The sequence below is a fragment of the Homo sapiens genome, chromosome 14 (assembly GCF_000001405.40).
Source record: "Homo sapiens chromosome 14, GRCh38.p14 Primary Assembly".
Lineage (NCBI taxonomy): Eukaryota > Metazoa > Chordata > Mammalia > Primates > Hominidae > Homo > Homo sapiens.
The window spans coordinates 81015232-81028207 of NC_000014.9; the positions used below are offsets into that span (position 1 = coordinate 81015232).

Sequence of the window (12976 nt, forward strand, 5' to 3'; positions counted from 1 at the left end):
TTTCTTTGAAAAATTCCTCTGTAAACCTAAGGCTGACAAAGAAGTTGGCTAGTTGAAGGGAAAATGATACTTATGTTTTGTGGCAAGGGGGAACAAAAGGAGGGGGAAAAGTAATTACTGTCCACTTAACATTTTATATTAAATTTCTAATGCATAATTTTCAAGACGGGCAAGAGTTTTGGTTTGTTTTAACCAAATATAGTTACAATATTAAATACGTGTTCTAAATCCAGCATGTGAATATCACTTCTTCAAAAAATTTTTAATTTTTTAAATTGAAAAATAAATATATGTATTTATGGTGTACAACGTGATGCTTTGAAATATGTATATATCGTAGAATAGCTAAATGATGCTAATTTACATATGCATTACCTTACATATTCATCATTTTTTTGTGGTGAGAGCACTTAAAATCTGCTGCCTTAGAAATTTACAAGTACACAATGTTATTAACTACAGTTACCATGTTGTACAATAGATATCTTAAACTTATTCCTCCTGTCTAACCGAAATTTTGTATCCTTTCACCAACATTTCCCCAACCCCTCATCCCCCCACTCCTCACCAGTAACCATCATTCTACTCTCTGCTTCTGTAGTTCAATTTTTTTAGATTCTACATATAAGTGAGATCATGCGGTATTTGTCTTTGTGTACCTGGCCAATTTCACTTAACATAACGTCCTCTAGTTTCATCCATGTTGTTGCAAATGACAGGATTTCTTTCTTTTTTAAGACTGAGTAGTATTCTATTGTGTATATGTGCCACTTAAAAAAAATCCATTCATGTGTAGATGGACACTTTGGCTGATTCCAAATCTTGACTATTGTGAATAATGCTGCAATGAACATGGGAATGCAGATATCTCTTTGACATACTGATTTCATTTCTTTGAATATATGCCCATAAGAGGGATTGCTGAATCATATGGTGGCTCTATTTTTAAGTTTTTCAGGGGCTTCCATGCTGCTTTCCACAGTGGCTGTACCAATTTGCAATCCTACCAACAGTCCACAAGTGATCCATTTTCTCCACACCTTCACCAACATTTATCTCGTCTTTGTGTTGATAACCATCCTAACAGATGTGAGGTGATCTCTCACTACGGTTTTGATTTGTGTTTCCCTGTTGATTAATGATGTTGAGCATTTTTAAATGTTTCTGTTGGCTATTTGTATTTCTGTATGTCTTCTTTTGAGGAGTGTTTCCAGGTCCTTTGACCATTTTTAATGGGTTATTTGTTTTCTTGCTATTGAGTTGAGTTTCTTATATATACTGGATATTAGCCCCTCACCAGATATATAGTTCACAAATATTTTCTCCTTGTCCATGAGCTGCCTTTTCATTGTGTTGTTTCCCTTGCTATGCAGAAGCTTTTTAATTTGATGTAATTCCACCTTTTGTTTGCTTCCTTTTATTGCCTGTGCTTTGGGGGTCATATCTAAAATATCATTAATGAGCAGCTTTTCCCCATTGTTTTCTTCAAGATCAATGTCAAAGAGGTTTTCCTTTCTGTTTTCTTCTAGTTTGAGGACTTATGTTTGGATTTTTAATCCATTTTGAGTTGATTTTTGTGTCTAGTATAGGGGTCTAGTTTCATTTTTTGGTATGTGGATATACAGTTTTCCTAACACCACTTATTGAAAAGACTATCAATTTATTAAAGAAAAGTTTTGATTTGTTTTATCCAAACACAGTTACAATGTTAGATGTGTGTTGGAAACCAGCATGTGAATGTCACCTCAACAAATTTTAACAACAGAAGGAATGGGAACAGCAAGGGGATGAGGAAATAAACAGAACATAGGATTTAACAATCAATGGGATATTAACACATTTATGCCTGAGGTTGCAATTTTTTGCATTTTTGCAATCAGACCTTGCAATGACCTTGAGCAGTAAGATATAATAACTCCCATGCTTAGCGTTCCAATAATGGAACACTAGGCATAAATGGGTTTAAGGGCACTTGGGGTCACAGATGTAAGCTTAGAAGGGGATTAAATGTGGCCAATGCCTTGCTTTTGCCCATTTAAAAAATTTCAACTAATTCTGATGTTGTTCTAACATTCTGTGATTACAGGATGGTAAGTTTGCATGGTGGAAGATCAGATTGGGCACCAGGATAATGGCCACAGGGACCTCAGTAGAGCTCCCAGTAACTCAAGGGCACCAGGAGTATGTAAGGAGTGGAGAGAGTGCACAAAGAAAAACTTGACCCACTTCATAATTTAAGCTAATGTCAATCCGCCTGGCACTTCAGAGTCTTATTTCTCAAAACGTGGCCCCAGAACAGCTGGTACCCAAATGCCCTGTGGGTCTGTTAAAAATTTAAGTTCCCAGAAGACACTCTAAACCAGTGGAATCAGAACACTGGGAATGGGGTCTGAGAAGATACATTCCAAACAAATAGCCTAGGCAATTCTTAGGTACTCTCGTGATTGAACCTCTGCACCAAAGAGGGAAAAGTATAAGTTAGAAAGGAATTTATAAGCACCATACACAAAAATAGCCATGACTCAGGCCTCCACATCTCATTTGTGCTGTCACTTCCCCTGGGAAGCCTGATCACCCCAAATGCCGCATTGTATAATCTTTTTTTTTTTTTTTTTTGAAATGGAGTGTCACTCTGTCGCCCAGGCTGGAGTACAATGACATGATCTCGGCTCATTGCAAGCTCCGCCTCCTGGGTTAAAGTGATTCTCCTGCCTCAGCCTCCTGAGTAGCTGGGATTACAGGTACCTACCACCACACCTGGCCAATTTTTTGTATTGTTAGTAGAGATGAGGTTTCATCATGTTGGCCAGGCTGGTCTCGAACTCCTGACCTCAAATGATCCACCTACCTCGGCATCCCAAAGTGCAGGAATTACAATAGTACCTAACATACTCTATTGAATTGCTGGCTTTTCTTTCTCTTTAGCCCATGTAATCCAGTGTCATTCATCTCCTCTGCTTAACAAAGAGCTTAGTTCATGAAAGCCGCCCAATAAATGTTCTTTAAATTAATAAATGACTTCATGTCTTGCTGTTCCAAAATATACTCCTTAACCTGCCTGAATACTTTCACTTCACTTTGCCAATTATTTCATTTGGTATATCTGAGAATTTTAGTTTAAATAATGAAATCAGTCAGTTATCCAGTAGGGTCAATTAATTCCACTTTCGCTTTCCCAAAGATTGTAGAGCAACCACACACAGCGAATGAGGAAGCAGTGATGCAAGTAATTTTGAAACACAGTTTTAGAGTTAAATTGTTTCTGGATGCAGGCATACAATAAATGGGTAAGTGCTGTGTGGGGGACACTGAGCACCGAAGAGTTGGAGGGAAAGCCCCAGGGAGTTATGAAAGGGAGTACAGGGAACAGGGAAGAAAAGGAAGATGTAACCTACTTATCTAAAACTTTTACCTAGAAATGAACCTGCATTCAGGGTCATGGTGGGAGAAAACACTCCTCCTCCTTTGATGGCTGTGACCTCCTCATAGTTCCTGAACATAGCACTCAAGCTGGTCCTAATCCCACTACATGAATAAGTGAAATAGGCTTTGAGAAACTAGTCTGAAAAGTTGGTCACCCTATGAAAAAATGCATGCAAAATCCCAGAAAACATTTCAAAACTTTTGAAATCTAACCAACTCAGAAATTGAGCAAAGCCAAGATTAGATGTGTCTTGCAGATCAACTTAGTGAAAGCAGATGTTACTCGTGAAGACAAAGGTCAGGACCCTAGAGACATAACAAGAAATATTTTATGAGAAGGAAACTTGATGTGGATTGAAAGGCAGAAGAAATGAAAAGAAAAAGGCACATGAACATTTTTAAGCAATTGTAACAGAATGACCAAATTGCCTGAACCCCAGACATATGATAAATCATATAACATGAATAGGCCCCCTTCAAATTGGTGGCATGCAACATGGCAAAACCCATCTCTACTAAAAATACAAAAATCAGCTGGGCTTGGTGGCGGGCACCTGTAGTCCCAACTACTCAGGAGGCAGAGACAGGAGAATCGCTTGAACCCAGGAGGCAGAGGTTGCAGTGAGCCAAGATCATGTCACTGCACTTCAGCCTGGGTGACACAGCAAGACTTTATCTCAAAAAAAAAAAAAAATGGTTGCATGAGCAATTATAGTGATGGTGACTCCAGTTTTGCCAAGATATAAGCAAGATTGAACAGGCCAGAAAATGTGGATATGTTAGTGCAAGCAAATCATCAATTCTTTTTTTTTTTTTTTTTTTGTATTTAAGTTCTGAGGTACATGTGCAGAATGTGGAGGTTTGTTACATAGGTATACATGTGCCATGGCTGTTTGCTGCACCCATCAACCCGTCATCTACATTAGGTATTTCTCCTAATGCTATCCCTCCCCTAGCCTCCCACCCCCCAACAGGCCCCGGTGTGTGATGTTCCCCTCCCTGTGTCCATGTGTTCTTATTGTTCAACTCCCACTTACGAGTGAGAACATGCAGTGTTTGGTTTTCTGTTCTGGTGTTAGTTTGCTGAGAATGATGGTTTCCAGCTTCACCCATGTCCCCACAAAGGACATGAACTCATCCTTTTTTATGGATGCATAGTATTCTATAGTGTATGTGCGCCACATTTTCTTTATTCAGTCTATCATTGATGGGCATTTGGGTTGGTTCCAAGTCTTTACTCTTGTGAACAGTGCTGCAATAAACATACATGTGCATGTGTCTTTATAGTAGAATGACTTATAATCCTTTGGGTATATACCCAGTAATGGGATTGCTGGGTCAAATGGTATTTCTAGTTCTAGATCCTTGAGGAATCGCCACACTGTCTTCCACAATGGTTGAACTAATTTACACTCCTACCAACAGTGTAAAACAAAACAACATATATTTATTAAACATATGTGTCTCTGTCTGTGTGTGTTACACTTAGGCACATAAAAGATATTTAACAAACATTGTTGAATGGATAAATGACTGAATGAGCAGCTACTATGTGTCAGGTGCTAGAAATAGCCAAAATGTTCTAAAAGACTGTGGGGAATTAGCAATTCCTTTTAGAACAGGAGTCCCCAACCCTGGGGCCATGAACCAGTACCTGTCCGTGGTCTGTTAGAAACCAGGCCACATAGAGGAAGTGAGTGGCAGGTGAGTGAGCAAAGCTTCATCTGTATTTTACAGCTGCTCCCCATCCCTCACATTACCACCTGAGCTCTGCCTCCTGTCAGATCAGCAGTGGCATTAGATTCTTATAGGAAAGTGAACCCTATTGTGAACTGCACATGCGAGGGACCTAGACTGCGTGTTCCTTAAGAGAATCTAATGCCTGATGACCTGAGGTGGAACTGAGGCAGCGATGCTAGCACTCAGCAGCAGCTGCAAATACAGGTTAACATCAGCAGAGAGGCTTGACTGCATAGAAACCATAATAAATCAATTGCTTGCAGACTCATATCAAAACCCTAAAAGTGAGTGACATGTGACAAGTAAGCTGCATCTGGTGGCAAGCTTTATAGTGGCAAGTGAGTTGATGTACTTCAATTGTACAGCTGTATCTGGTATCCTTAAAAGTATGTTTCAGACAATTTCAAATCTCCATATGTTCTGGATTGAAGTCAAGGCAGAATATCCTGAGATTGCTACAAAAGCTCTGAAAAGCCTGCTTCCATTTCCAACATCCTATCTTTGTGAAGCAGGGTTTTCTGCAGTGACAGCAACCAAAATGAGATTACAGAGTAGACTGGACATAAGCAACACACTTTGGGTGTCACTGTCTCCCATCACCCACAGATGGGACCATCTAGTTGCAGGAAAACAAGCTCGGGGCTCCCACTGACTCCACATTATGGTGAGTTGCATAATTATTTCATTATATATTACCATGTAATAATAATAGAAATAACATGCACAATACATGTAATATGCTTGATTCATCCCAGAACCATGCCCCCGACCCTGCCAGTCTATGGAAAAATTGTCTTCCATGAAACTGGTCCCTGGTACCAAAAAGGTTGGGAACCGCTGCTCTAGAATGTCCCCCTTGGCTGAGGAGTCCCTGATCAACCACTGAGGCTCTGCTTAAGTGTTCCCTCCCCTGCAAAGTCTACTATCACCCTAATTAATTACTATTCCACTGAAAAGCTCATCCCACCATCTTACACTGGTTAGATGTTTTACCTGCTTGTCTTCATTACTAGGATAAGGGGAAAAAAGATTCTGGGTTTGTTCCATATTTGTTTTCCCCAAATCTACTGTTTGTAATAGGGAAAGGGAGAAAGGAAAGGCATAAGAAAGAGAAGAGAGGACAGTAGGCAGGGAAAGAAGGAGAGCAAGGTGAAGTAAATCATGTTCTTTTGCCCCTAAGGAAATTATGTTACATGGTAGGTTTGTTGTTAGATACTGAGACCCTGATTCTACCTTATATTCAATGGACATTGTTTAATTGCATTTATTGCTTTACCACTCTGGAAAGAAATGTATTAATTTAAAATGTTTTGGATCAATTATTTCTTTTTATTACAGTTCTTACGGCTTATTGAAACCACTCAGCACACTTTTAAATATGTAAAATGTATGATCTGAGTCATGATAAAAAAGAAATTTCATAGGTAACAGCATCAGTAAATATGTGGCTGCACTTTCAGTGCTGACCTACCTATATTCTTTTCTGAGTTTACAACCTCAGTTATCAACAACTGACATTACTCAATAGTTGGCACATGGCATCCAATGCATGGACTTGAAAGTAGGCTTTTAAAATTACAGTAATCGGCCGCGTGCGGTGGCTCACGCCTGTAATCCCAGCACTTTGGGAGGCGGAAGTGGGCAGATCACGAGGTCAGGAGATCAAAACCATCCTGGCTAACATGGTGAAACCCCGTCTCTACTAAAAATACAAAAAAAAAAAAAAAAAGCCAGGCGTGGTGGTGGGTGCCTGTAGTCCCAGCTACTTGGGAGGCTGAGGCAAGAGAATGGCGTGAACACGAGAGGCGGAGCTTGCAGTGAGCCGAGATAGTGCCACTGCACTCCAGCCTGGGCAACAGAGCGAGACTCCGTCTCAAAAACAAAAACAAAACAAACAACAAAAAAATTACAGTAATTACTGTGGGCATGATAATTGTATGTGTCAACTTGTGTTGTGTGCCACAGTGTTTCCAGATATTTGGTCAAAGAGTTTTCTGGCTGTGGCTGAGGGGGTGTCTTCGATGAGATTAACATTTGCATCAGCAGACTGAGTGCTATGATTTGAATGTTTGTGTCCTCCTCTCCCCAGAATTCATTTATTGAAACTAACCCTTAATATGGTGGTATTAAGATGTGGGGTGTTTGGGGCCGGGCACGGTGGCTCACACCTGTAATACCAGCACTTTGGGAGGCTGAGGCAGGTGGATTACAAGGTCAGGAGATCGAGACCATCCTGGCCAACATGGTGAAACCCCATCTCTACTAAAAATACAAAAATTAGCCGGGCATGGTGGCACATACCTGTAGTCCCAGCTACTTGGGAGGCTGAGGCACAAGAATCGCTTGAACCCGGGAGGCAGAGGTTGCAGGGAGCCAAGATCATGCCACTGCACTCCAGCCCGGGCGACAAAGCGAGACTTCATCTCAAAAGAACAAAAAAAAAGATGTGGGGCGTTTGGGAGGTGATTGGGTCATGAAGGTGGAGCGCTCATTAATGAGCTTATTAAGGAGATTACTGCCCTTAGAAAAGAGCCCAAGAAGTCTATGTGCTCCTTCTGCCATCTAAGGACACAGCTAGAAGGCACCAAAGAGCAAGTCCCCACCAGACACTCAGTTTGCTGTGTGCATGTGGAGATCTCTTGGTGCCTTGATCTTGGGCTTCCCAGTTTCTAGAAGGTGAGAAATAAATTTCTATTGTCCATAAATTACTCAGTTTAACATATTCTGTTATAGCAGCCCAATGGCCTAAGACACTGAGTAAAGCAGATTGACCTGAATAGGCTATAAATGGAAAGGAAAACTCTTCCTGCCTGACTGCTTGATCTGGGACATCAGTCTTTATCTGTCTTCTGACTCAAACTAAAACATCAGCCCTTTGGGGAGTCTCAAGCCTACTGGCTTGAGATAAGGGGAAAGACCCACCCCCATGATTCAATTACCTTCCACTGAGTCCCTCCCACAGCACATGGGAATTCAAGATAAATTTGGGTGGGGACACAGCCAAACCACATCATCAGGGTTTTCTTACATAGTGTTGATAATCCTTTCCAGGGTACTGGGTGTAATGAGCCTTAAAGGTCTTTAGGACCCTGATGTAAAGACTAAATTAAAGATGTGTGTTTGGGGGCAAGTAGACCACTTCAGCACCTCCAGTGTTGAACTCATGGAGTTCTGGGTGGCCAGGGGCATTGTTCAATATCAAAAGAACCTTAAATGGCAGTCCCTTACTGGCAAGGTACCTCCTGACTTGAGGGACAAAGCATAAATGGAGTCAATCCAGAAAAAGAGTTCTCATTGTACAGGCCTTCTTGTACAACCAAAAGATTGGCAGGTGGTGTTTAACTTTTCCCTTCAAGGCTCAGGGGTTAGCTGCTTTATAGATAAGGGCAGTCCTTATCATAAACCGAACTGCATTTGCACAAAACAGTAGAGGTAGCCCATCTCTTCCTGCCTTAAATCCTGGTGCTGACTTCTTTTTCTTACTAATAAATGTCCTTCATGGCATTTTTTTGCAGAACAGGGCACCTTTATTTGCATTAAAAACCTATTTAGTACACCTACTATGTACCCCCTAAAATTTTAAAAAATTAAAATCTATTTAGGCAGATATTCTTCTCAGTGATTGTCTTAATGGTGCCTGGGAACTCATCTGCTGCCTATTGGTTGGCAAAACCTGATTCTCCTGTTATCGTCACATTTTTAAAACCAAACATCTTTCTAAAACTATCACACCATCTTTTGCTGGCATTAAATTCTTCAGCTTTAGTTCCTTTAACTTCCTTTTACTTTAAGTTGTTATATGACTTCACTTTTTTTCAAATAATAATAGAGTATTTAGGCATGGTTTTTTTTTGTTTGTTTGTTTGTTTGTTTTAGATGGAGTCTTGCTCTGTCACCAGTCTGGAGTGCAGTGGCGCAATCTCGGCTCACTGCAACCTCCACCTTCCGGGTTCAAGCGATTCTTCTGCCTCAGCCTCCCGAGTAGCTGGGACTACAGGTGCACGCCACCATGCCTGGCTAATTTTTTGTATTTTAGTAGAGACAGGGTTTCACCATTTTGGCCAGGATGGTCTCGATCTCCTGACCTCATGATCTGCCCACCTTGGCCTCCCAAAGTGCTGGGATTACAGGCTTGGGCCACCGTGCCTGGCCAGGTATGCCTTTCTTATAGCAATTCTGCACCGACATAAAAGCTCCATTTTCAATATGAGATAAAAAGGTATTTTGCAAAAAGTATAAGTTTTTATACCTGCTGGTGTAGCTGCAGTGACAGCCTCATGAATTTTCTTTCTTTTTTAACAATGGGCCTTGCACTAGATTCATTTATCTTGAAATGGCAGGCAATCGCAGCTGCAGACCTCCATCTATGGTAAACATCAAGCAGTTCAACTTTTTCCTGTCATGATTTTTCTCTGCTTCTTGGGAGCACTTTCAGCAACACTAATGGCACTTTGTATAGATCCCATGGTGTTATTCAAGGTTTACAGTATTGCACTAAATATAATGAAAAATATGTGAGAACAGTGAGAGGTCACTTTTTACTGTCATATGGAATTTACTGGAGACACAAACTGCTTATACAGAGATAATTAGTGACATGAAATTTTAAGCAGATACTTGCAACACCTGAGCTTAGCACAAAAGCAACAGGAGCTGGCTATGACATTTTTGCAGTAATACAGTATGTACAGTTAATTGTATGCAGTAATGATTTAATACTTTATGTTTGCTCACATTTCTCTTGACTGTGAATGGTACATGTGCAGTCTGTATTTGGGTTTGAAAGTTTTGAGAAATTTTAACTTTTTATAATAGATTTGTATGTATTTTATCATAATGTATGATAAAACAGATGAGTATATCCCTAGCTTTTTTCTTAATTTCTTTTTATATTTCCAGGCCATATGGTTCAACTGCAAGTTTTTAAAAATTGTTGCAAATCTCCAAAAAAGGATTCAATATGTTTATTTTTTAAAATTGTATATAATTAAACTTGCAGTTCAAAGATAGACTTGAACCCTAATTATTCCAATGGATAAATCAGTATAAATATGTAGTTATTTTTTTTTTAACATGAGAAGAGATGGGAAGTTGGTTTTGGACAAATCTGAAGCTGTTTCTATGATATTCTATAATATTGGTTTGTTTCCTTGATATTTATGTATCTTTCACATAAAAATAAAATATAATAGACAATACATTAAACTGGGAGCCCAGAAACTTTGGTTCTAGGATTGAATTATATGTGAGACATTCAATAAATCACTGAACCTTCTAGGCTTGAGTTCCCTCACTTTGAAAGTGAAAGGATGAAATATTTAGTTTCAGGATACTAAAGACATCTTGATCCCTAAACTGCTTTCTGGAAAAAAGCCAAAAGCAACAAGGAAATTTAGCAGTACACACTCCCATCTGTCATTATTAGAAAATCTTCATTAACTTCAACCATAATATATATGAAGAAAGGCTGGCAAGTATAGTGAATTTGGACCAGAGAGAGGCAAGAAACTGAAAGAAGATGGTTACTGGACCTCAAAGGATGACAGTGCAGAGGTCTTTGAAGTAAGTGATACACATCAAGGGGTAAGACATGATAGAACAAGATGGATGGCCTCAAGGAGCTCCTGAAACCCCACAAGAAACCCCTCCAATGCAGGGGATGTGATGACAAATGAAGACACATGCAGACAAGCTAACTCTACAAGAAACTATCTGTTTGGAAGACCAGATGAGAAACTGAATGATAAGCAGCTTGAGGCTGTCAATCTTTATCCGCCATTGAATGTAAACTCCAGGGAGGCAGAAATTTTTTTTCTGATTTATCTATTGCTGTATTCTCCAAACCTAGAGCAGTACCTGGCACAAAGCAGGTGCACAATAAATATTTGTATGATGGATGGATGAGTAAAGAAAGATTACAGCTAAACCACACAATCGACATACTTGTGTGTATGTGTGTGTGTATATGCACACGCATGCAAACATGCAAACATTACCCTGTCACCTCTAGAGAAAAATCCCTTCATTATTGAAAAGGAATTAACATAGGATTTATGCAAAAATAACCCTATTTACATAAAGAAGCAAGGCAACAAAACAAATAAAAATCATAAAAAGGGCAACCACCAAAAATATTTTTATTGCCCTAGAGAAGGTAAAACTTGTGACCAAAGTTATCTGTGAGTTCATAAAACTTAATGAATAAGGTGACCTTTCTGTGTTAGGACTCCAGAGTGAAGATAAGAAGTCTCAAATTTAAAAAAAGATAAGGCAATAAAAAATGTTAAAAAAGGTATTTGGTAGATCTTGGGATAGAAGTAAAAGAGCAAAATAAAAACATCAAAGAAATAAAAGCTTTGGGCCAGGCACAGTGGCTCACACCTGTAATCCCAGCACTTTGGAAGGTAGAGGCAGGCAGATCACCTGAGGTCAGGAGTTCAAGACCAGCCTGGCCAACACAGTGAAACCTCGTCTCTACTAAAAATACAAAAATTAGCTGGGTGTGGTGGCGGGCACCTATAATCCCAGCTATTTGGGAGGCTGAGGCAGGGGAATCACTTGAACCTGGGAGGCGGAGGTTGCAGTGAGCCAAGATCACGCCACTGCACTCCAGCCTGGGCAACAAGAGTGAAACTCCATCTCAAAAAAAAAAAAAAAAGAAAGGCCTTAATGGGAACAGCAATGTTGCCCATGTTGAAAATATAAGTGAAGACATTCATGACATCTTGAGAAAGTGGAGCAAAATGAAATAGAAAAGAAAAAAGACTAGAGTAGGAAAAAATTGTAGATCGAGAACACAGGGGAAATTGACAGGTACAACACATTGGATTTTTATTAGAAATTATATGTAAAACATTCAATATTCTTGTTTTTAAAGACAAAATCAGAAAAAAATGGAGAACAAAAATATCCAAAGTTATATCAAAAAACTCCTGAAATAAGAGATTTGAATCTGTAGAATTAAAGGACACACAATATTCCAGCAAACATAAATATCTATTAATTTCCATGCATAATCTAGTAAAGTTAAGGAACTTCAAAGAAAAATAAAGAACCCAAGAGTATCTAAAAAAGGTGAGGGCATAAATATCTTATCTGAAAAGCAAAAGAATAAAGCTAGCTTCAAATTTCTCTCCATTCAGTGCTAGGAATAATGAAATCATCAAGTTCTCAGGGTAACAAAGTATGACCCCTAAATTATATACCCAGACACACCAGGCTTGTTTCTTCTGTCCATCTGTGCAATAACTTTTTCAAATGTGTAAAACGTAGGGGAAAAAAACCTACATGAGCTTTAAAAAAGCTGTTAGCCAACTAGGTCAACCAAGATATAAATGATGAGCTATGAGCATTAAGTCATTTTAAATTTAAAACTAAGGTTAAAATGACTTCAGGAAATTAGGGTGTGCAGAACAGAATAGAAATGTAATAAGTTATCCCTTTATAAAAATAATATAACTAACAAAAATCAGGAGCGAGAGGGAAATGAAAATGGGAGATAATTTAAGTACCAATCTTCTCATTTTTAAATATATTGTTTAAGGCTGATCTGAGACTAAGGCTGATCTAAGATTAAGCACATAACTAACCAAAATGAGTGTAGCAGAAAAGAAAAGCAAGAAGATGGAAGTAACTGGACATATTCTAAAAGCATCATTCATAGTGAGAAATTAATAGGTACTGTTTAAAGGAAGAGAGACCTTACGATACATAAAGTTATATCTTACAAAGTAACAAATTACTAGAGGAACTCAAGTAGATCATAAGCCTTTCATATTATGAAAAATTGACCTTAGAAATCACAGACCAATGG

General features: G+C 39.1%; 1 protein-coding gene and 1 long non-coding RNA gene across 6 annotated transcripts in view; one reads left to right on the top strand and one right to left on the bottom strand.

Annotated features, from left to right (window-relative positions):
- Positions 1–12976, top strand: part of TSHR (thyroid stimulating hormone receptor) — a 190686-nt gene that overhangs the window by 59611 nt on the left and 118099 nt on the right. The window lies entirely within an intron of this gene.
- TSHR-AS1 (TSHR antisense RNA 1) overlaps positions 1–12976 on the bottom strand; it is a 156341-nt gene that overhangs the window by 1166 nt on the left and 142199 nt on the right. The gene's annotated exons all lie outside the window — the stretch shown is intronic.